This window comes from Homo sapiens, chromosome 12, assembly GCF_000001405.40.
Source record: "Homo sapiens chromosome 12, GRCh38.p14 Primary Assembly".
NCBI lineage: Eukaryota > Metazoa > Chordata > Mammalia > Primates > Hominidae > Homo > Homo sapiens.
Genome location: NC_000012.12, coordinates 75,231,092 through 75,257,565, shown reverse-complemented (window position 1 = coordinate 75,257,565; position 26,474 = coordinate 75,231,092). Strand labels below are relative to the sequence as shown.

Here is a 26,474-nt window from a genome sequence, read left to right as displayed (position 1 = left end):
GGGAAGTAGTTAGTTTTCTTATGCAGTTCTCATGAAGGCAGAAAGATCATAGATTAGAACACCAACCGTCTATTATTATTCAGACCAAATCTGGTCTATTTTTATATTCTAAGCCATCAAATAGGATAGGGACTCTGAAACAACTGAAAATAATTTAAATATTAGCACTTTGTTTTTCTCTTTGAATAAAAATGATCTTTAGCTACTTGTGGGAATAGGAAAGGGGCTGATACATTTAATTTATTACTTATCAAGAGAATTTATCAAATGAATACTGTAGCTTATCTTAAACGTTTTGTATAACATCTTCAGGCATCTTTATTTAAACAGACTGAGAGTGTGCAAATGCCTTGGTACTAGAGAAAGCAGTAATCCTTTTAATGATTTATCTTTGATCCCCTTAGCTGACCTCCTACATCTCATTTCTCAGAACAGAGAATATACTATTGAATGCCAAGAATTCCCCCTCCTTTAATTTAATGCTCAGTGTTCTTTCTGGTTCAGGGCCTATAAACTTAGGAGTTATAGTATTGACATTTCTGTGAGTTTTATTCTGTAATGTTTTAATGGAGGTTTCAGCTAGGGCACAATCAAATGACAGGCTAATGCTGTTAGATTGTTGTGCTCCCAATGGCTGTGTCTTGCCTGACAATCCACTAGTTTTCCATGCACATGTATACAACTATGTGAGAAGTTGAACAGAAATAGATAACTCTGTAAATGATAAATATTGTTTAAGTGATTAATTTTATTTAATTTTCTCACATTAAATACCAAGTTTGCATTATGGCATTTTCTTTGCTTTGAAATTAATATTTCAAAATTAATTATATTAGTATATGGATGCTAAGATGAAACACAATTTTTAAAAATGTTTGCTATAATATAGTTTAAGCATATTTCTTAAATATGATAGTAGAGTCATAAGAATGGTGACATTCAAACTGTATGCATGAACTTTTATGTAGAGAAATGTGTGCTTTTTACAAAACTTTAGAAAATGTTTATAAAATATGAATCTTACCAATGAACTTAAAATACAAGTTTTTAACATCATGCATGCAATAGTCTAGTCATTAAACATAGACATTAAGCATTATATTTCTGTATCACAAATTATACACTGATGGCTTTTTTACTGGTAAGTCAACATTCATTGGTTATTTTCCATTTTTAAGTCAATATAGTTTGAGAGTTTCTATGCTTTTAAAAAATCAAGATATAATTAATAAAATAAAATTTACCATTGTAATGTGTACAATTCAGTGGTTTTTAGTATTTTTTTATGTTGTGCAAACCTTACCACTAATTCCAGAACATTTCCAATATCATTCCAAGAAGAAACCCTATATCCACTAGCAGTCAGCCCCAATCCCTCACCCCAATTTTGGGGCAACCATGAATCTACTTTTTGTCTTAATGGATTTGCCTATTCTGGACATTTTATATAAATGGAATATAATACTTGTCTAGCTTTAAAAATATATCCTTCTGTGTCTGGCTTCTTTCACGGAGCATAACATTTCCAAGGTTCACATTGGATATTTCTCTTTTTTAAGTGGCAACAGACTGTAACTTAAAAATATGAACAAAGCATAAAATAGATGATTAAATAAAATAATGTAATGTAATGGAATTTTTGGAAGATTATAAATAAAAACAAAAAAGATAAAGTTTAATATAGGAAATCCAACCTGGGATTAATTCCAATCCTGTTATAGGAAAAGGAAATAGAAGAAATGGGGTGGGAGAGATGCAGAATTATAAAAGAAATAATAAAATAAAATTTCTCATAATTGATGGATATGACCCCAGTTTGAAGAGCCACTGCCTACACACAACGGAATGAATAAAAAGCATGCAATAGATCTATTCTAGTTTCTTGAAAAAATTACCAATGAAAATATAGAATGATAACAGAAGGAAGACACAGATTATTATATTAAGAAAATGCTAAGAGTGATATGCTAAAAGAAATACAGCTCTAATAGACTAGTTGGCTTAGTGTAAACAAATTTTACATGGAATTATAGTGTAAACACTTTTAATTTAACTAAAGATTCTTTTATAACTATATTAGGAGGATGTGCAGCTGAGGAAAAATTGGGGAAGGTGGTGATTTAGATAAGCCCTCAACAACCAGAAGTATTCAGTAGGTGATGGGTTGATTGTTGAGACATTGGAGTATAAACATGTTATCTAGAAACACTGAGCTAAATGCTAGAAAAACAGTGAAAGTCGTTGAAAGCAGCTGCCTCTGAGGATTGAGACTAGTGTTAGAAACAGGTGGTACAGAAAATCGTGGCTTTTTGATATAGCTTTTTGGTTCTATATGATTTTCACCTATAATAAAAATTAATAGGATGGGCTTGGTGGTTCATGTGTGTAATCCCAACACTTTGGAAGCCCAAAGTGGGAGCATGGCTTGAGCTCAGGAGTTTGAGACCAGCCTGGGCAATATAGTGAGACCCTATCTCTACAAAAAATAAATACAATTAGCCAAGCATGGTGGTGTACACCTGTAGTCCCAGTTACTTAGGAAGCTGAGTTAGGAGGACTGCTTGAGCCCCAGAGGTCGAAGCTGCAGTGAGCTGTAATTCACTCTAGCCAGGTTATAGGCAAAATCCTGTCTCAAAAAAAAGTTAATAAAAATGTAAATGTCAAATATTTTAAGGTTTCTTAAACCACCTGTATGTAACTTTTGTATTTTACTTATTTTATTAGTATAATATCACTTTGTTAGTCTCATATTTTTATCTAATAAATCCAAGATTTATTAGTATTAACTTTACTTCCTTTTGTTTTTCTTTGATAGAAATTTACCTTCTCCATATGTTCTTTAAAGGACTACTTATTATGTATCCATGTCTATAAGAGAAAAATTACATATTTAAATAAATATATGGAATCATTTAGCACCAAATATATTTTAACCAAATGACATTCTCACATGGTACTGGGTAATTATAACAAGATGTTGAAATTGGAGGAGCCAGCAGTCAATAGAATGTAGTAAAGTTTTGCTACTAGCACTTTGGACATGCTCCATGCTTTAGTTTAAGACCACTTGTGGGTACTATAATTGGGGTACTGAAGCATAATTCAGTAAGTAGACCAAACACGTTCCATGCCAAGGTTCTTAATAAAATATCAAATTTTAAAAATTAAAAAAATTTCAAAATATCAAAAATTTTAAAATTTATGTATTTATTAAAGTGACTCTTTAAGAAAAATTAAAATCTCATTGAAATTTTATTAAATTTATTTCACCATTTAATTATATACCTATTTTGAAATCCATATTGGGTAAGAGAAGTAGCACCATAACAATTTCAGTGTTTATCAACTCCAAATATGGGCAGTTTTCCTGGTTTATGTCTCTTCTAATTAATGGCAGAGAGTAGTTGTGCCATTCCTCTATTATGACCTGCTGATCATGGTCCAAACCACTAAATGGTGGTTTGTAAGTAACAGTGGTTTGTAAGTAGTGGTGGCTTTTAGTCAGTAATATGGTTTGGATGATTGTCCCCTCCAAATCTCACACTGAGATGTGATTCCCAATGTTATAGGTAGGGCCTGGTGGGAGGTGATTCAATCATGGAAATGGATCCTTCATGAATGATTTAGTACCATGCCCTTAGTGATAAGCGAGTTCTTGCTCAGTTAGTTCACAGATCTGGTTGTTTAAAAGCCTGGGACCTTTTGCCTTGCTCTCTTTCTCTCTCACCATGTGACATGCTGACTCCCCCTCACCTTCCACCATGATTGTAAGCTTCCTGAGGTCTCACCTCATGCAGATGCCAACATCATGCTTCCTGTACAGCCTGCACAATCATATGCCCAAATAAACCTCTTTTCTTTACAAATTACCCAGTCTCAGGTATTTCTTTATATTAACAGTAATGCAAATGGATTAATATAGTCAGTCTCTATATTAATGGAGCAAAGTTTAGTAATGTTAGAAATGGTGGTACAGAAAAAACTTTAGAATGAAGCCTATTGTATTTCAGGACTTCTATGGAGCATGGAAACTGCAGTTGTGATCTCTTTATTGCACAAAGAACAATCCAAAGAAAGCAAGAGGATTCAATTTTGGTGCCCAGTTCAATTCTGGTTTTGCAGATTCCAAACTAGTCTGGATCAGATCAATCAAGGCCACAGAAAATATTTTAGAGTGTTGTATGTTTAAAAATTCTCAACTGTGAGTTTTTATGGGACCACCTTCTGGTCCTCTGGACTTTCAGAGTAGAGATAATAAGGCAAAGAGATGAAGTCCTGAGGGAAAGGTTAGTACTTAAGACAATTTATAATGAACAGAAAAGGGTCCTGCGTGGCAGTGGACACGGCAGGGGGTTTGTGTTGTTCATAGAGAGAAGGGCCACCATGAGAAGTCTAAAGCAGTAGTGGTACATGTGCCCAGAAAAAGAAAAGAGAGTGTGGGGTGTTGAAAATTTTCAGTGACTAAGGAAAGTAGAAATGTGAGTTGTTCACAGGTGACTGCCCTCAGATATATTCTATTTTAAATTTTGCACAAGTCATTTTTGTGCAGGAAGTGCTTTACCTTGTCTGTAACAGGGAGGTGATGAGGACTATATGTGAAGAATTGTCAGTGGGTATCAAGATTTCTGATATATACAGGGCTTTTGTAATAGGGTTAGATGTCATGATGAGTCATTTTTTTTATTTTTATTTTTTTGAGACAGAGTCTCACACTGTCGTCCTGGCTGGAGTGCAGTGGCGTGATCTCAGATCACTGCAACCTCCGCCTCCCAGGTTCAAACAATTCTCCTTGCCTCTGCCTCCCAAGTAGCTGGGATTACAGGGGCGTGTCTCCATGCCTGGCTAATTTTTTTGTATTTTTAGTAGACATGGGGTTTCACTATGTTGGCCAGACTGGTCTCGAACTCCTGACCTCGTGATCTGCCTGCCTCGGCCTCCCACTCCTGACCTCGTGATCCGCCTGCCTCGGCCTCCCAAAGTGCTGGGATTACAGGCATGAGCCACTGTGCCCAGCCGAATCATTAGTTTAAGTCCCTTCCTTATAACCCTCCATGTCTTATAATTAATTTAAATGGTGATAAGATGACTTCTTTCAGCTCAGTAACTCTATCTTGCCAGATCAGGTATGGAGACCCCCAAACAGGATATTTGGTTTGTATGATGTCTACCTCTTCAACCTCATTAGGACAGTTAAATGCATGTAAACTGCTGAATAACACCAAGTGAATTGGCAAACTTAACTTTAGGTCTCCAAATATCGCATCTTTTGGTCTTCTCACCATGTCTTAAATCCTGGTTCTTTCGTTGGAATTATTTACTTTTATCAACAATTACAGCAACACTCTGTTCCCTCCCTCCCCATATAAGTGCTGTTTCTTTCTCAAGAGAGAGCTCTAAAAATCTTGCGTCAGAGTAGACAGCTCAGAACCCTTAAAGCTCTTTTTCTCTGTTGCCAAAGTAATTCTGTAATTTTTAAATTATGTCTCATTTTTCATCTGGAAAGCTTTGAGAAGAAATGCTTCTTTCTCCAAGGAAGTTATTAGATATTGAATTATAGTCCCTGTTCTTCCTGTTGATGAAAAAGTGTTCACATTATCTTTAGATAAACTTATTTCATGATTTATTAATGAACATATAGCAGTAATTTGACTCAGCAAGGCAATAAGGATGAAATAAAGGAAAACTTTTGGGAGAAATTCTGAAAATTAAAGAACTGTATTTTTGATGTAGCTTGAAGGAGTTGCAGTCACATGTAGGAGGATGAAGGCAACCATTGAAAAAGAGATTGGAAGTGTGATGCCATCGACAAAGGGAAATTTTTCTAAAAAGGCAGGCAGTATAATTGAATTGCCAAATTGGGTTTTTGACGATATCAGGATGAGACTTAATCTGGAATTACTGAGTTTAAGTCTAACAAGAAAGGACAAAGTAACACCTGGGTTTGTTATCAGTGGTTTGCTAACCTAAGGGGATAATAAAAATTGTAACGCTAACCTTAGGGTGAATTGTTTGATTTTTACCTTTAAGCCATATTGTGTTTTACCTACGTACCATAAAGCACAGCTGACATTTATTAAACACAGCCTGACCTTATTCAATTATTTAAGCATCAAATGATTTACCAAATTTTCAAAAATACAACTTAAAATTTCACAACTGTTCTGAGAGAAGGTAGAGATTGTGGTGGATACTTAGAAATAATGTGACCATTTGAAAAGGAAGAATATTCGTGATATAGGGCTGAGATGAAGAAAGGTAAGAGCTAAAATTAAAGAACAATGGAAACCGTATTACAGTAAATATTAGGAAGATATTTGAGTGGTAGATTGATTGAGGGTCTTTATCTGAAGAGTCAAAGAAAAATACTATACATTCTTAAGTAAAAAATAGCATTGATTTAGGAATTTTAATCGATGATGTCATGTTGGGTAGGGAGGGGCTGGATCATAGAGTACTGGTGGTGGCAATTGCACTTAGCAAATTATCAAGTGAACTCCCCCACTCTGGGCTAATTTTGTGGTTGTACAAAAGTAAAAATGGAATAGGTATGAGAGGCTGTGAGTACACTTGATTTCATTTAAACCAAACTTGATTAGATTTAGATAGATCAGGCACATATAATACTGGTTAGGTCTACCAAAACTGTATTTGAATAAGGAACTAAGAAGCTCTCTGGTTGAAAATTCAATAGAAGAGAAGATGGAGTCAACTGGGAGATATTACAGCAAAAAACATACATTTGTCATCCTTGGGGAATAGTGACGCTGAATACACATTATTTTTGCCACTTAGATTTGTCTTCTCTGTGGACCTATGTTTAAAAGTAATACCTAAATTTTATTTAAAAGTTTCTAAGATGGGAGCAAACAACTCTGCTTTGCTATCCTTTAGTAGGACATATTACAAAATATGGAAAGAAGTACTTTCCTCCAATTCAAGATTTGATGCTTCAGGGATTCCAGTGTCACTGCTGCAGTAGCAGCAGAAATGGCAGAGCAAGGCTGAGAAGAGAGCTCTGTAGAGGCTTCATCAGTACCTGAAGGACACACATGTACAGCACTCAAGTGAAAAGCCTGAAAAAGAAAAGAGGGATATTAGCACAGGTTAAAAAACATGACTTGTTCTGAGTACATGCAAGATATCTGGTGGGGACCCTAGATGTGCCTGGGGGGCAAAGGCTTTTGCAGAGAATTCGTTTTAAATTGTGAAGAAAGAAAAACAGTAAATAAGACATGGGGGATATATGAATTGAAACGAACTGGATATTGTGATAGGTAGAATAGTGGCTCCTCAAAGATATTCAAACCCTAAACTAATATCATATGAATATGTTATGTTACATAGCAAGGGAGAATTAAGGCTGAAGATAGAATTAATGTTGCTCATCAATTAGTCCGGGAACTTTTTTTGGATTAGCCAGGTGAGATCAATATAACCACAAGGGTTCTTAAATAGAAAAAGAATAGTCAGAGAGATGGCAGCATAAGAAGACTCAACCAGTCATTGCAGGTTTTGAAGCTGGGAGGGGGCCAGGGGCCAACAAATGTGGGCAGCATCTAGAATCTGGAAAAGGCAAGAAAATGAATTTTTCCCTAGAACCTTCAGAAGGGGATGTAGCCCTGTTGACATCTTGCTTTTAGTCTGGTAAGACCTATTTCATACTTCTGTTCTCCAGAACTGCAGGATAATAAACTTGTGTTAGTTTAAGCCACTAAATTTGTGTTAATTTGTTAATAACAGCAATAGGAAACTAATACAGTTGTGAATTAATGGGAATTGATGTGATTGATAAAGGAAAGAAAAAAGTAAAACAAATATGCAATTAAAAAAAGATCTTAAGAGGTCAGTTGGGATGACAATGTATCCACAGAAGCAAATGGGAATTAGCAATGGGAGCTATTTGGAGGGAGAAGGTAATGAGATTCAACTGATTTATGTTGAGTTTGAGGTAGTAGAATAATATGAAAGCATAACTATCCAGATTAAAGAAACATAAATTTGGATATGGAATTTGAAAATATAGAATATCTACGAGAATGGAGAATTAATCTGAAGAGTATTTTACCACAAAAAAAGATTGAGTTTGGAGATTTTCAAATTTAGGGGTAAAATTCTGAAAAATAAAATGGAGCAATCAGAGATATTGAAAGGAAATAAGTAAAGGATAGGGATACATTCTCAGAGAGTTTGTGATATGCAACTGAAGTTCAGTAGACATCTGTTGAATGAAGAGCTTAGAAACTTGATAAAGAGTAAGGCCAACATTTTTTAAAGTCTCCTCTAAGTCCAAGTGATGAGGTCTGCTCCTATACATTATTATAGGCTTGGGAATTGACTAGTTTGTCTTACATTTCAAAAAACGGAAGTAAAATGTTAAAGTTTGGAGTTTATGTCCTGGTAAAGTGTTACCTAACACCAGTATATATAAGTGCTTATTTTACTCATGCCCTTGCCCACACCGAAAGTGATCATTTGAAAAGGAGGATTTCAGGGGAACCCAACTAAATTGAGGTATATTCCTTAGTATATTATCAAACAATGTATGACACACATTTTATTTGCTTTCATGCCTTTCAGCTCCCAGCATGATTCCATTCCCTTATACTTTCCTTCTCTTTTGTGCTTACATTCTGCCAATCCACTTAAGTTTCTTTATTTATGTGTGTGTTCATGTATTAATATATGGCATTGTTTCTTATAATGTATATATATTCTTATAAATGTAGATATAAATAGCATAAATTTCATATATAATTACCTAAGATGTATTATATTTCTTACTTTTCTTACTTTTTCCATATAAAACTAGAATTTTTTTTTGATAAATATATTGGACTTATCCTTTTAGTGCCCACTTTCTAGTCTTCTATTGGCTTCCATCTACATTGTTTCCAACTTTTTACTCCTACTGGACTTCAGTGAATATTTTTATAGATGTCTGTTTGTGTACCTGAGCAAAGCCTTCTCCAGAATTTTTTGGATTGTGGATATATACATATCCTTATTTCATTAAATAATAGATTTTATTTCCAAAACAAATGCCACTGATTTCATCCAATGGTAGTGCCTGAGGATTTCCATTTCTTGGCATCTGCACCAACACTTGATACTATTAGAGTTTTTGCAAACATGAAGTACATGCAATGTATCTCATTGTGATTTTTATTTGCACTTCTTTGATTACTACCGTGGCTGACCTTTTTATTTATAATTTATAGTGTTTGCTTCTACAGATGGCCCATTCATATCCTTTCCCTATTTCTCTTTCTGGTTTTCATATTTCTTCATAATTTGTAAGAATTCCTCATATATTATATCTTGTGATCCAAAGTCTGATGCCTCATCCATTAGGCCATGTGGTCTCCTTCTTCCTGCTATATTCTAGATCTTAATCCTATGTCAGTTTTGGATATTGCAACTACCTTTTCTACTACTAACTTCATTTTATTTTGAAACAGGGTCTCGCTCTCTTGAGCAGGTTGGAGTGCGGCGGTGTGATCTCAGCTCTCTGTAACCTCCGGCTCCCGGGCTCAAGCAATCCTTGTGCCTCAGCCTCCCAAGTAGCTGAGAATACAGATGCATGCCACCACAACCAACCAGTTTTTGTAATTTTTTGTAGAGTTGAGGTTTTGCCATGTTTCCCGGGCTGGTCTTAAACTCCTGGCCTCAAGTGATCCACCAACTTTGGCCTCCAAAAGTGCTGGGATTACAGGCATGAACCACTGCTCCCGGCCTGTATTATTAACTTTAAATAAGGGACCATATTTGAAGAAAACTTTACTTTCCATATAGTACTGTTATACATGGTTTTCTCTTACATCATAAATGCATTTTGTTCTTATTTAAAAATATTCTCTATGGAATAAGAGATAGAATATATTTTCTACTAATTTGGTTGTTTTGGTTTTCACAAGATATGTTCAATTCTTGAAGCTTATTTTTGTGAAATTTGATTATAATTTTATTGTGTATTCCATATAGCAAACCAATTATTGATATTATTTACAAAAGAATTCACCCTTTATCTACTAGATGCTATATTAGTCTTTTTTTTTTTTACATCTAATGTTGAGGTTTGGAAACCTCAGGCCAATGATTTAAATTTAAGGCTTTACTTTTTCATTCTAGAAACTTTGAGAACTTGGGGAAAGGATTCCCTATTTAATAAATGGTGCTGGGAAAACTGGCTAGCATATGTAGAAAGCTGAAACTGGATCCCTTCCTTACACCTTATACAAAAATTAATTCAAGATGGATTAAAGACTTAAACGTTAGACCTAAAACCATAAAAACCCTAGAAGAAAACCTAGGCATTACCATTCAGGACATAGGCATGGGCAAGGACTTCATGTCTAAAACACCAAAAGCAATGGCAACAAAAGCCAAAATCGACAAATGGGATCTAATTAAACTTAAGAGCTTCTGCACAGCAAAACAGAGTGAACAGGCAACCTACAAAATGGGAGAAAATTCTCGCAATCTACGCATCTGACAAAGGGCTAATTTCCAGAATCTACAATGAACTCAAACAAATTTACAAGAAAAAAACAAACAACTCCATCAAAAAGTGGGCGAAGGACATGAACAGACACTTCTCAAAAGAAGACATTTATGCAGCCAAAATACACATGAAAAAATGCTCACTGTCACTGGCCATCAGAGAAATGCAAATCAAAACCACAATGAGATACCATCTCACACCAGTTAGAATGGCAATCATTAAAAAGTCAGGAAACAACAGGTGCTGGAGAGGATGTGGAGAAATAAGAACATTTTTACACTGTTGGTGGGACTGTAAACTAGTTCAACCATTGTGGAAATCAGTGTGGCGATTCCTCAGGGATCTAGAACTAGAAATACCATTTGACCCAGCCATCCCATTACTGGGTATATACCCAAAGGACTATAAATCATGCTGCTATAAAGACACATGCACACGTATGTTTATTGCGGCACTATTCACAATAGCAAAGACTTGGAACCAACCCAAATGTCCAACAATGACAGACTGGATTAAGAAAATGTGGCACATATACACCATGGAATACTATGCAGCCATAAAAAATGATGAGTTCATGTCCCTTGTAGGGACATGGATGAAATTGGAAATCTTCATTCTCAGTAAACTATTGCAAGGACAAAAAACCAAACACCGCATGTTCTCACTCATAGGTGGGAATTGAACAATGAGAACACATGGACACAGGAAGGGGAACATCACACTTTGGGGACTGTTGTGGGGTGGGGGGAGGGGGGAGGGATAGCATGAGGAGATATACCTAATGCTAAATGACGAGTTAATGGGTGCAGCACACCAGCATGGCACATGTATACATATATAACTAACCTGCACATTGTGCACATGTACCCTAAAACTTAAAGTATAATAATAATAAAATAAAATAAAAAAAACCTTCAAAAAAAAAAGAAACTTTGAGAACTTCCGATGGCGTTCTGTGTTTTAGATTTACAAATATAAATATCCATTATTTTGTCTTTTCTGCTCTGCTGTGTACTTCATGAGGCTTCTCAACTGAGAGCATGTATCTTTCTTTAGTTACAAAAAATTATGACTGTTATGTCTTCAGTTATTTCCTCCCCTCATTTTCTTATTTATTTTTCACTTTCTAGGATTTCTATCAGCTAGAAATGGATACTTCTACCTTTAGTCTCTGCATCTCTTTTTTGTTTTGTTTTGTTTTAACTAATCTTCTTATTTAAAGAACATGAAATTTTGCCAAATGCAGCTGAGATTTTTGCAAAAACAAAATTCCAGATACATGCCGAGGCTGAAGTGAATGTTTGTTGCTGCCCTTTTCTTAAAGGAACAATTTAAATTTATCCAAAAAGTCAGCCTTTCATCCCTTAATAAATTCAAAACACTATTTTTTTTTATGACCAAAGAATGGATACAACAATCTCTGGTCTTCATGCCATCCTCTATCCCATTCGTTGGTGTGGATTATCATGCTTATTAGTGTAAGGACATCGCATGTGCATATCAGCTATAAAATCTTTTTAAAAAGTCTCTGTATCTCTTAATTTCCATTTATAGAGTTAGGGTTAAGATTTGTACAAGCACATAAAAGCTTATCTCATTTTAAAAAATAGTTGTGTAACACAATATAAAAATAATTTATTGATAGGCATTTAGGTTTCCAATTTTTACCTCCACAAAAAAGAAATCATTTTACAATGTACAATTTGGTGCTCAGCTGGGAATATTTCTTTATAATTGTTTCTTAGAAGTATAACTGCTGAGTCATCAGAGATGCACAGTTTTATTTTGATAGACTGTCAACTTGTATTTCAGAATGGTTTCTCCAATTTATACTCACAGTAGGAGCATATGAAATTAGTATTCTTTGTAAACTTGCCAAGGCTTGATATTATTACTGTTTATAATTCTTGCCAATATTATAAAAAGTAATTCCTTTTAATTTGTATTTTTATTATTAAGTCAGGTTGAGCACCCTTATAAATATTTATTAGGCATTTGTGATTTTTCTTTGTGAATTGCCTGTTTATATCTTGTTCCTTATTTCTATTGAGTTGTTTTTTATATTGACTTTTAAGAACTCTGTAAACGTATACTGGATAGTAATCTTTGTCTGTTATATATGTTGCAAATTGTTCCCCAGAACTTTGCTGAATATTTTAACTTTAATTATGCTGTATTTTGTTTTAGGAAGGCTATTAGTCTGTATGAAATAAAATTTGTCAGTTTTTTCTTTTGGCTTTTGTGTTTTAATTAGAAAATCCCACCATTAATATTAACTTACGTTTTACTACTTTTGTAATACTAATTAGCATGGAATTTACATACTAATATTCTATTTTTCTTCAATGTGTAAATCCAGTTGCTCAAATATTATTTATTTCATTTCACTTTGCAATGCTGTCTTCATCACAAACCAAGTTAAAATATATACATGGATCTGTTTATGAATTTTTTATGAATTCTCTTTGTAATATATTTTAACTTCTGTTAATGAATCTTTTCTCATTACTTTTATTTTTAAAAATTTCATAGCTCTATTTTCCTTAGCATCCTTAGTTTATACTTTTAATTAACTTCAGAAATAGTTTTTGTTATCTTGTCATTGATTAAGATAGTATTTAAACATAGATTTATTTAATTGTTTTGCGATTGCTCATGATATATCTTTCCATTTTCTAGCTCTTTTTTAGGTCTCTTTGTAAACCTTAATAGTGTATTTTTGCTTCTCACTTTTTTTCTTAGTTTTTCCTTATATCTTTATTATTTTTGCATTTTAAAGTTTCCTAATTCTTCTTCGGAAAAGAAAATCCTTTTTCTTTTCAAATTTGTTAGCATGAAATTCTGTATGCTATACCCCTTATAATTTATAATTTTCTTGATGTATTATTTATTATTATGCTTGTTTCACTTATTCTTGATAATATTGATAATTGCTTTTAATTTTATTGTTATTGCTTCCAAGAATTAGCTCTTTACAGTAAACAATTCTATTTTTTCCTTAAATTAATCAACTTATTCCTAAATTTTGTGTTTAATTTTATTTTTCTTTGTTAAAATTTATTTTATCATAATTTTAGAACAGAATATAAATGTTAACTTATTTTAATTCTGTAGTTACGTAATTTTAAGTAATGGAAGCTATAAAATTTACTATTACATCTTTAATTTCCTCCCATATAATTAGATACCTGTTTTATTGTTATTATCCTTAAGATCCACTCATTTTCTTTAAATTATAAATATATAATTTACAATTTTAATAATATTTACGTTAAAACATACTAATTCATTCTTGCACTGCTATGCATAAATACCTGAGATTGGGTAATTTGTAAAGAGAAAAGGTTTAATTGGCTCACAGTTCCATAGACTGTACAGGAAGCATGATTCTGGCATCGGCTCGGCTTCCAGGGGGTACTCAGGAAACTTACCATCATGGTGGAAAGCGAAGGGGAAGCAAAGCACAGCTTCCATGACCAGAGCAGGAGCAAGAGGGAGAAGGGGAACGGAGAACTTGCTACATACTTTTAAACAACCAGATCTGGTGAGAATTCTTTCATGAGAACAGCACCAAAGCGGGAAATCTGCCCCCATGATCCAATCACCTCCTACCAGGCCCCAACTTCAGCATTGGGGATTACAACTCAGCATGAGATTAGGAGCTGGCCTCATGGCTCATGCCTGTAATCTCAGCATTTTGGGAGTCCGAGGAGGGTGGATCACTTGAGGTCAGGAGTTCGAGACCAGCCTGGCCAATATGGTGAAACCCTGACTCTACTAAAAATACAAAAATTAGCCAGGTGTGTTAGCGCACGCCTGTAATCCCAGTTACTCAGGAGGCTGAGGCAGGAGAATTGTTTGAACCCGGGAGGCAGTGGTTGTGGTGAGCTGAGATGAAGCAACTGCACTCCAGCCTGGGCCACAGAGTGAGACTCCATCTCAAAAACAAAAACAAGCAAACAAACCCCCCAACAAGCTCCATGAGATTAGGGTGGGGTCACAGATCCAAGCCATATCAAACATTGACTATTTAAATTAGCAAGCATTAGTTTATTCACCCATCGACTATTTGAAGGTCTACTATATAAAAATGTTAAAATATATAGTTATATGGCATTTATAATAAGTGAACATGTGGAAGGCAAAAAATTATATATAAATCATTATGATTTAAAGTTACATTTCTCTAATTACTAAAGGAGTTTAAAATTTTTCATGTATTTTAATGCCATTTTAATTAATTTTTGTAAAATATTTGTATTTATGGTTTTCTAATTTTCTACTAGGATGGAGTATTGATTACTAAAATTTTGCTAGATATTTAAGATTTTAATTTCCCAGGTTTATACATTGCAATTTTTTAAACAAACAATTTTTCCTTTTAGTGCAGCTATTTTATCATAGCATTTTAAATTAAACTATAATTTATATACAGTGAAATGCACAGATCTTAAGAATACTATATGATAAATTTTGACAAATGTATAAACCCATGGGCCCACATCCCAATCAGTGCATAGTTCAATTGCAGCACAGAAGAAAATCCTTTTCTATTACCTCCCAGGTGATCACCTTCTCCTGCTTCCTGCCAGTCTCCATTGCTCTGATTTCTATCACCACAGATTAGTTTTCCATGTTCTAAAAATGTATGTAAATAGAATCATACCAACCCTACTCTTTGGCATGTGACTCCATTCACGCAACATGTTATCTGTGAAATTTACCCATGTTGTTGAGTATATCAGTAGTTTGTTCCCTTTTATTACTGTATAGTATTGTATTTAATACATTTACCAAAATTGTTGAAAACCAGTGGTAAAAAAAAAAAATCTCATAAGCCCTCCTGGGAAATAAGATGCTCTGTAGAATTTAGATGAATGTAATATTTGTGATTAGTAAGATTTCACTGACTGTATACTTTAAATATAATTATAATAAAAGTATAAAATGTTAATCTTTCTCACTTTCATTCCTCTATCATTCATCTCTCACAAAACATCATTAAATTACCAAGAGAATATAATAACAGTGAAAAATATGTATCAATAATAAAAATTAGAAAAGAGTGTGTATTGTGTTTAAAAGACTTGAGTCTAAAGGCTGTAACAGAGGGAGAAACTGTATTGGGAAACCATATCATACCACAACTCACTGTATATAAAATATAGCCAAACTCAGAGAACATTGAAAGAACTACTACAATTACCTAATTTTGAAAGGCAAGAGCTAGATAAAAGTATGTTTTATAGAGAAGCAACCTTTTATCCTAATTAAGCCATCAAAATTTTCTAGATACTAGGATTTATGTAGGGCAGGGAACCTGCTGTAGATATTATTCTCATATTACATTTTTAAACTAAATTACAGAGATAGCTGAAGGTAGTTCCCAGAGCTGTCAAGCCAGTGAGAATAGTTATATGGAAATAATTGGGACTACTCCACAATTACAGAAGAGAAAATTTTCAGCAACAAAGAGAAAAATCCATGCTGTGATTGCATCCATGTATAATGTCCTTTTTCACTAATACTGTAAAGTAAAATTATAATAAATGTAAGTTTTTATGTTCTTGCCTTTATGATTTGAACTGGGACTCAATCACCCAATTTCTCAAAATTTATCTCAGCCCAATATTATTCAAATATTTGACCTCTCTCTCAAAGGTTAAGTAAACCAAAAAGTTTACCAATATATTGAAAACTGCACAATTTTAAATGAGATTAGTCTGAGGCAGTAAAATTCCCCCCTATAAAACAGACTTATGCTATAAGAAGTTAGAGAAGCCTTTTAAAAATCCATAATCTGCAAATGTATTATGATTTGAGAAAAACTAGAGTAGAAGTAATGAAATATCCAAGAAAAATATCTGGAGATTAAAAACATGATAGCTGGATTTTGAAAATGCAAAAAGCTGTATATTGGGTTATAAAAAATACTAGATAAATGAATTGGTATTTTTATTCTGTCAAATAAAACAGAAAAGAGTGAAATGATAAATAGAACAAAAAGATTTCATGAGAACAGAGTTGACTAAGTTTACACTGTTGATTCTCTGCTAAGCATGTGCTGCACTAAAGATAATGTTAAGATAATGTCTCAGTTTTTCATGATGTTAGTGATGAGAGGTACATAGAAACTTTCCAAAATGAAATGCACAAGAAAAAGAATGAATAAAAGGAGACTAGAACATTCAGGACTGTGAGACAACTTAAAAAGATATAACATGCCTGTAATTGGAATACCAGAAGAAGAAGAAAGAGAGAACATAGCAGAAGAAATATTTAAAGTAGCAATGTTTGGGACACTTCCAAAATTAATGACAGATACCAAAGCACAAATTCAAGAAGCTCATAGAATGTAAATATAATAACCCAAGCATACACCTATCTATATTATAGCTAAACTGCAGAAAACCAAGACTAAGAGATAATCTTGAAAATAGCCTGAGGAGATAAGGTGAGGAAATCCTACTACAGAGTGTAATAAGTATAAGAATTACAGCTGATTTCTTGTCAGAAACCATGCAGGCAAGAAGAGAGTGGAATAAAATATTTAAGATGTTGAAAGACATAACCCATCATCTAAAATTTTATATCCAGCAAATGTATCCTTCAATGTGAAGGGAAAAATTAAGATTTTTTTTTAAATAAACAATAAATCAGAGATTCATTGTCAGGATACCTGCTCTGCAAGAAAAATAAAATCTTTACCTTTTTAAAGTTCTTAATGGATCTAAAATTTATCTATTTAAAGTAATGACAGTAACATTGTATTGAATAATAACAGCATATGGTTAAGTTAAATAAATGACACCAATGTCACAGAAACAGAAAAGGGGAACTGAGAATACTCTTGTTAAGGTACCTGCATTACATATGAAGTGGTATAGTATTACATAAAGGTGGACTTAGATTAGTTAAAAATACCTACATTAGTTCAAAACACATGTTGTAAACTCTAAGGTAACCACTGAGAACTTTAAAAATAACTATAATTCTAAGGAAAGAAAATGACATTCTATAAAAAGCTCAGTTAAACCAGAGAAAGCTGAAAAATGAGGAGGAAACAAAGAATAAATTTCCCAAATAGAAAATAGTTACAAATATGAATCCAATTACATATGTAATCACTTTAAATATGAGTAGTCTAAATAAACCACTTGAAAGATATGGATTTTCAGAGTGAATTACAAAACAAGACCCAAACATATAGTGTGAAAGAAAGCTACTTTAAAAATAGAGTGAGACAGGTTAAATGCAGAGATGAAGATAGGCATACCACACTAATACTAATCACAAGAAAATAGATGTAACCTATATTAATTTGAGACTAAGCAGACTTCAGAGTAATGAAGATTATGAGGTTTGAAAAGGGTGTTCCCTAATAATAATAGGGATAATTCTCCCAGGATATATAGCGATCCTAAGTGTGTTTACACCTAATAACATGTGCTGGAACAATAGAAAGTCCAAAAATTGAACACAGACACAGACGTTAACCTTTTCACAAAAATTAACTCAAGCTGGATCATAAATCTAAATGTAAAATGCAAAACTATAAAGCTCTGAGAAGAAAACACAGGAGAAAATCTACATGACCTTGGGTTTGGTGATTTGATTTTTGATACAACACTCAAAGCACAATCCAAGAAAGGAAAAACTAATAAACTTTAGTAGATTAAAACTTTCTTCTCTTTGAAGGACACTGTTAAGTGAATGAAAAGGTAAGCCAAAGACTAAAAGAAAATATTTGCACAATACAAGTCTAATAAAAGACTTGTAACCGGGCATGGTGGCCCATGACTGTAATCCCAGTTACTCAGGAGACTGAGGCAGGAGAATTGCTTGAACCCTGGAGGTGGAAGCTGCAATTGTGCCACCGCACTCCAGCCTGGGCAACAGAGCAATACTTCATCTCAAAAAAAGGAATAAATAAATAAAATAAAACAAATAACTTGTTAGAATTCAATAATAACAAAATAAACAACCAATTAAAAATGGGCAAAAAATATGAACAGACATATCATCAAAGGAAATGGCAACAAGCATATGAAAAATTTGCTCAACATCATTTGTCATTAAGGAAACACAAATTAAAATAACAATGAGATAGTACTTAAAACCTATTAGGAAGATAAAAAAAATCCAGGAAACTGACAACACCTAATTCTGGCAAAGATGCTGAGCAACTTATTTATTGCTAGTGAATATACAAAATGGTACAGCTATTTTGTAAGACTGGCAGCTCTTTAGAAAGCTAAACATGGCCATATTATATGATCTAGCAATTGTGCTCCTAGATATTGACCCATCTTAGTTGAAAAAATTATGGACACAAAAAAACTTGCGCATGAATGGTTACAGCAGCCTTATTCATAAACCACCAAAATTGGAAGTAATCAAGATATCCTTCAATAAATGAATAAACAAACCTTGGTACATTCATACAATGGAATACTATTTGTTGATTAAAAAGAATGAGATATATAGCCATGTGAAGACATAGATGAATCTTGAGGGCATATGGCTAAGTGAAAGAAGCCAGTCTGAAAATGCTCCATATTTTATGATTCAAATTATATGACATTCTGAAAAAGACACAGCTAGAAGGATGGCGAACAGATCAATGGTTTCCAAAGTTTTTTGGGGAAGGGGAAAGGTTAAATAAAAAGAAGAGATTCTTTTAGGACAATGAAATTATTATGTGTGATGCTGCAATGGTAAATACATAACACTATGTATCTGTCAAACCCAAAACCTGAGACAAAGATTAAATATTATTTTATGCAAAAATCTTAGGAGAATAAAGGATCCCAGAATGGAATGCAGAATGTGACACCCCTCCAAAATCTGTCTGTGTTACCAATGTATGAGGCAATCTCACTGAAGAGCATGGGAGAAAAACCTGTTGACCTCAGTAACTTTGGAAGAGTGGAGTCTATACGACAAAAGACAACGTGGACTTTACATAAACATTATGCTGTGATGTAGGGATAATATTGCTTCCCAGGTGTATTGATGAACAATTCTGAAACCATCATACATATATACTGGAATTGAACAAGGCACTTAAGTAAATTGAATGGTGAATAGTGGGAGCCAGGTTTCTCTCAGAGGGATTTTGAGGTAATCAAGGAAAGGGGGCTAGAATGATCCATACAAATTAGAGTTGGAGACCTCAGTATGAACTCATGTTTGGCTTAATATAGATACAGATGGTTACATACAGGAATGATTATACTATGTGTGTATATATGGTTTAGTGTACATACATCTATGTCCTCGTTCTGTCAGTCGAGGGAACCCAAAAACAATGACACTAAAGTGGCAATGAGCATACCCAGATCTTGGTTTTGAATACCATTCTTGAATGAAAGAAGCCAGGCTTCCCTGGGAAGGAATGACTGATTCCAGCACAAGGCAGGAAATATTCAAGATGAGCCTGGAGCATCATGTAGTACCAGAAAGTAAAGAAGTACTTAAAAAAATCCAAAAAACGAACAAATAAAAAACCCATAATGATGCATGTTGCTCAAAATTGCCAAAGCTGGAGTAATTTGAGCAACAAAATAAAAGGACAGTATTAGATTATAACCCAAATTATGAAATAAATACCCATGAGTAAATAGGGACTTAAATAAATATTTGAATAAATAAATAAATGGAGATCATAGACAAATCTTCCAAGCAGAAAAATTTCAAGTAATTTATGTAGGTATTCTGCCTTCAAGAAATTGGAGAATAATTCCCCACTTTTTGAGTGTGAGCTGTGCATAGTGACTTCCAAAGAGCATAGTGTGAGGCAGTGGGGAATAAGTTTACACTGATAAAACTCCGACAAACTCCACCTCAGCTGTGTGACCAAAGTTAACAGAGACAAGACATGTTGATTTTATGTACCGTTATTATCATGGAATGGAAATAGCAAATTATCTCTGTGTTCTTCTTTCTCAAATTATATAATTCAAACCCAATCATGAGGAAAAAATTAGAAAAATTTCAATTGAGGGACATTTTACAAAAAATACCTAACCAATACTCCTCAAAACCATGAAAGTCATCAAAAATAAGGAAAGCCTGCAGAAAGTCGCAGTCAAGAGGAACCTAAGTGGACATGACAACTAAATATTATTAATATATTGTTTCCTGGATGAGATCCTGGAATAGAAGAAGGACATTAGGTAAAAACTAAGGACTATACATAAAATATGGACTTCAATGAACGATAATAATCAATATCAGTTCATTAATAGTGACAAATGCACCATAACAATGCATGATGCTACTAATAGTGGAAACTGGGTACGGGTGTATGGAAACTATTTGTACTACCTTCTCAATTTTTCTGTATATTTAAAGCTATTCTAAACTTAAAAAAGCTTATTTAGAACACATTTGTGGAAGTAAATTTTTTCCCCCAAGCAAAATGTTTTATTTGATCTGTAAATCTATCTTGTATGTCATTTATATAGTAGCCTAAAATAGGAAGACTACCAAGATGGACTCTTATTAATTTAGATGGTAACTGAATATGCCTAAGGGGAAAAGATCAATGGGAGAGAGAATGTCCTTGTGATATTACAGTGAGAAATCCTGCAGAAAACCACAAAATTCTTGGAAAGTTTCCCTGTGGAGAGAGTACAGAGAGCCACCTGAACCCAAACAACTGAGAATGAGGCCTCGATGTTTACCTTTTTTGTCAAGTATAAAAGTCATACTTGCCTGGAGCATCTTTAGTACCAGAAAGTCAGGAAGTGCTTAAAACTACTCATGTGATTACTCTCTTATTTATTTTGTTGTTCAAATTGTACCAGCTTTGGCCAAAGAAAATAAATCACTGCTTTATCATATGAAGTGACAGTTAGCATATAACATACACTGTCTCCAGACTCTATTTGATCTCTATCTCTTGGATATAGTCATTTAATCCAAAGTTGCTATTCAACTTAACTGAACCACAACCAAATTATATTTCTCTAGCTTTTCTTCAAGTATCTATAAAAGAGATTGCCTACACTCAAAAACTGCCCTACAAAGAGTTTATGACCAAAATTTCTCTGACCTGGAGTCAGAGAAATTTTGGTTTAAGAGAGTGTCAATCAAGAGAATGAGAGCATTACAGGCAGAGGGAAGAGTATGTGCAGAGGCCTTGTGTGGAAAATGCCACTGAAGGATGTCATATTAGAGAAAATTGAATAATCTGTTCAACAAAATTTACTGCATTTCTATTACAGGTTGAGAATTCCTAATCTGAAAATTTTAAATTTGAAATGCTCCAAAATCTGAAACTTTTTGAACGCCAACATGATGCGACAAATAGAAAATACCACACCTGATCTCATGTGATGGATCACAGTCAAAATGCAGTCAAAAATTTGTTTCATGCACAAAATTATTAAAAAATATTGGATTAAATTACCTTCAAGCTACGTGGACAAGGTGTATATGAAATATAAATGAATTCTTGTGTTTAGACTTGGGTCTGATCCCATGATATCTCATTATATATATGCAAATATTCCAAAATCTGAAAATTTTCTGGCCCCACATATCTTGGAGAAGGGATACCCAAACTGTATGCCAGGTTTTTGGATGCAAGGGAGATCTCTGTGGTTGGAGCATAGAAAGCAAAGGAGAGATGGAAAAATGCATTAGAATATATAACTTGCCATTAGTAAACTTACTATTTCCTAATAAAAACAGCTTCATTTTGTAAAGTTCATAAACTATACCGTTATAATCCGTTCTGAAAGTGTTATTTAGATAAGAACAGTCTTCAGGATTTTTCACTTTGTTCTCTGCTCTTTTGAATATTAGAAAGATATTAGATTCTCTCTAGGCTTTCACCAGCTCATCTCTACTCACTAAGATTTCTGAAAGATGAATGCCCATCACATATTCTTCAGCAAATTCATTTGCAAATTATTTTAACACTCCAGGGGTAACTCACCTGATCTAAGAAAATTGGCCTCATTTTGAGAGGTTACTGTGTCTCTTCAAATATCTTATGATCTGGCTTTCAACTCCTGGTTAGTCAGTCTATTGTACTCTATAATCATTCATCTTGTAGGATAACGCAAAATAGTTCAGTTTCATTTTCTTCTCATAATCCATTAATATTCCCTCAAGCTGCTCCTTCTTTGGTAGTTTTTTTGCTCCAAAAATGAGCAAAATTTTTTTAGTTGTCTTTAATATTTTTTTAAGTTTGAATGCATTATGAACCAGACTTCTTGAAAACATTCTTAGGTGTCATTATTTTATAATTGCCGCTGGCTTGTCTTTCTAAGTCAAGTGTATTACTTGATTTAAAAGCATTCTTTATGGCTATATTAGCCTTTTTTTCTTTTCCCTCTATGACCTGTCTCATCAAAATTCCTTCCATAATGATGTAAGCAGAACTATTTTTTGTGGAACATTCTGAAACACTTGCGGTCTTCCTTCTTAGGTTCCAACATCCTGAGTCCATTTTCACTTTGTTTTTAAACTAATAAAAACATTTTCTTCAAAGATTTAATGACTGTCTGAATGTGCTCAGGATTTTCTTTTGGTGCGATTTTAAATTCTAAAGAAGTATTATTTCCTGTCCCCATGGTTCTTATCACTTTTACTTTTCCAACCAATTTTTCCCTTTTGTTTGTTATTAAGTTCAGAGTAGCAATTTCCCCAGTTGCTTCCACTACCCTCCAAGAGGTAAAACTGTCAGTAGAAACAATGTAGTTATGAAGTGTTTTGACAGTATAGGGCACTCCTACCAGTTTAGTGGGCTGACAGCATTTTTTGGTAAGAAAATGGGAAGAAATATTATGGCAGCTAACTCAGCTATAATACAGCACCATAACTTATATGATCTTCAATTTTAAAAAGTTATGGAACAAAGCTGAGCTGTTCTTATACAAGGTTCTACATGATCCAGACTCTGTGCTCCTTTTGAATTTCAAATTATACTAATTGCTTGCTAACAACATCATAGTTTAGCCATGATCTGCTAATATAGCAAGCTTTTTTTTCTTTCTCAGGGTATTTTTTTATTTAGTTACCTATGCCTGGACACCATTTTCCCACCACTGTGCACAAGGGATTCTTTTTAATGTTTAAGTTTTATCTTGCAATTTACTTTTCTATAACAATTCACGGTTTATTCTCTTCATACCATTTATGATAATCTGAAGTTATATAGTTTCTTATCCATTTGCTTTTTATATTACACCAGTGACAAAGTAAGTGCTGAGAGGTAAGAAACTTGGGTGTCTTTTCATTACTGTATGCTCATGATTTGAAGCAGTACTTTGTGCATAGTAAGCCCTCAATAAATAATTGTTAAGTAGATAACACAAAGTATTCTAAAATAAGTTCTTTGCAAAAATGAGTTAAATAAAATTGTTCAGACACTGTTTCTGTTTGTCTTATGTCATTACTAAATTAAAACAGGCAAACCATACTTTTTTTGAGTAACCTTTAGCAAATGGTAACAGAGAAATGCTTTTAGAAATGGCAGCCAAAAAATGCAGATCATCTAGAATGTCTAGAAAAATGGACAAAATATAAACACAAAATTGCTTGAAAGCACATAGAGTCAACAGGTAGTGAGGAATTATGAAGTCAGATTCAGGGATAGATAAAAACTCAGAGAAGTAAGCCTGACACTTGGGGTAGTATTTCAAGAAGAGATACCTGTCAATTCTAGAAAAAAAGGCTTAGAAGGAAATAACAGAGCAAAACCTAGATAGACTTGTAGGACTATGGGAAAATATTGGTATCCAGAATTTATCAAGAAGGGATAGCACTAGTCAATTTCCCACCTTTGGATTGGAATTTGAAAGGTTACACCATAGAAATAAGATTGAAAAATAAGTAGAAAAACCCTTCAAAAAACGTTAGCCCAGATCAAGTCACCCTTATCTCTGTAAAAGGATCCAAGTGATCTATCATTACTAGCTCTCCTAGCTGCATAGATTTAAAAATATTTAACAATATATAGTTATTAAATAGATCAATAAAGAGTATCGTTAAAGGTCAAATTTTAATTTGCAAGATTAACTAAATTAGTCAAGCACTTACTTGTCCTGGATAATTGCTAAGTTAGAATAGCCAATTCCTATTTTTTTTTGAGCAACCCTTAATAAAAGATTATACAGCAGTAAAAGAAATGCTTGTGGAAGGTGCATCCTTTCTAGAGGGAATTAATGTCATCACATTTTCATAACATTTCATTTATAATTTCAATAAAAAATGAAGTAATTCGTGGAGGCAGTCAACATGATTAAAAACCAAGAGAAGAGAATATAGAAATAACCAGTAAGAAAAAGAGAAAATGAAGTAAACAGACACAGACTTTAAAATAACCATGGTGTGCCTGTTTAAGGAATTAAAAGAAAAAAATTGAAAAATTTTACAGAAAAAGTGAAACTATAAATAATAACAAAATGAAAGAGTGATACCAGGAAAACAGTGAAATAGGAGGTGCCTCACTCATATCCCACAACAGCAACAATATTTATCCATGGACAAAATTGCCTTTGTGGGAGCTTTGGCATCCAGGTAGGAGGTTGTGAAACCCAGATGGAGCCCAAGACTGAGTAGTGCCATTTTGAAAAGACACGTATGCTCCCATCTGGCAGGCTTACTGACCATGGTTCTGGCTATAAACCTAAAATCAGCTATGTACCTCTTTGGATTCAGCTACAACTTCATTTGGCCTTAGTTCTAACACCAGAACCATCTGCCAAGAAACACAGGAAAAGCCAAAAGCACCTGGGACTTCAGTTCAGGTTATGGACCCTGAAGTAGTGCATGATCCAACTCTAGCCCCTTCAAGCATGGTCCAGGAGCAGTCTTGCCTGTGGAATTATTTGGGAGACATGACTATCTGTGACCTCAGAGGTAGAACTGCTGGCACTGGTTTGACCATGGATTATGAAGCAGCTTTGTGTCTTGCCTCTGATCCCTCCCAGCTGCTATCTGGGAGCAGTCCTGTTCACCCAGGGACCCAGCAAGAGACATCTGGTAACAGTCCCACTGTCTAGAGATCCAATGGCAGACCATGAAATAGACTCTTGTCCCAACATCAGCCCTACTGACTAAGGTCCTGGAGGAAATTTTATCCACCCAGGTATCAGACAGGATTCATGTATGTCTACCTGAACTACTAATAACAGGCCTGGTAATCATGGATTCCCCTGTGGATCCAGCAGCAGCCATATGACCTGGCTCCAACACCACTCAACTGTGATCCTGGAGGCAGTCTCATAAATCTGAGGGACCTAACAATAGAAGATCTTTACCTGCCAAAACCAGTGTGTAAAGACTGAAGAGCTGTTTGTTTTTTCCTTCAAATACACAGACATCTATGCAAAGCTATGCAGATCATGAAGAATCAGGCAACATAACATCACCAAAAGAAACCAATACAGCCCTAGTAACCATCCCCCAAAGAAATGGAGATCTATGAATTACGTGCCAAAGAATTCAAAATAATCATCTTAAAGATGCTCAATGAGATGCAAGAGAACACAGAAAACTAAACATTATTAGAAAAAAATGAAGGAACAAAATAAGAAGTTTAATAAAGAAATAGAAACCATAAAAGCTAGAATCCTAGAGATAAAAAATACAATAATAGAACTGAAAACATTCAGTTAAGAACTTCAACAGCACACTCAATCATGCAGAAGGAAGATTCGGTTAACTAAAAGAGAGGTCACCTGAAGTTAACCAGTTAGGGAAAAAAAAATAAATGAAAAAGAGTGAAGAAAGCATACAGGAAACATGAAAAGCCTATAACAAACAAACATATACATTAAGTCCTAGAAGGAGGAGAGAGAGAAAATGCCAGAAAACTTATTTAAAGAAACAACAACTGAAAACTTTCTACATTTTAAAAGGAATATGGACATCTGGATTTATGAATCTGAAACATACCTAATGAAGATCAGTCCAAAAGAGAGTACTTTGCTGTGTATTGTAATAAAATTGTCAG

At 33.9% G+C, this 26,474-nt stretch overlaps 1 long non-coding RNA gene across 1 annotated transcript; it reads right to left on the bottom strand.

The window, feature by feature from the left end:
* Positions 1–5,700: 5,700 nt before the first annotated feature.
* LOC100130268 (uncharacterized) lies at positions 5,701–22,826 on the bottom strand. Its single transcript, NR_149000.1, has 2 exons — positions 22,449–22,826; positions 5,701–7,073 (listed from the first exon to the last, which is right to left on the bottom strand). It is a non-coding gene; the product is annotated as an uncharacterized LOC100130268 (long non-coding RNA).
* Between the last annotated feature and the right edge of the window lie 3,648 nt (positions 22,827–26,474).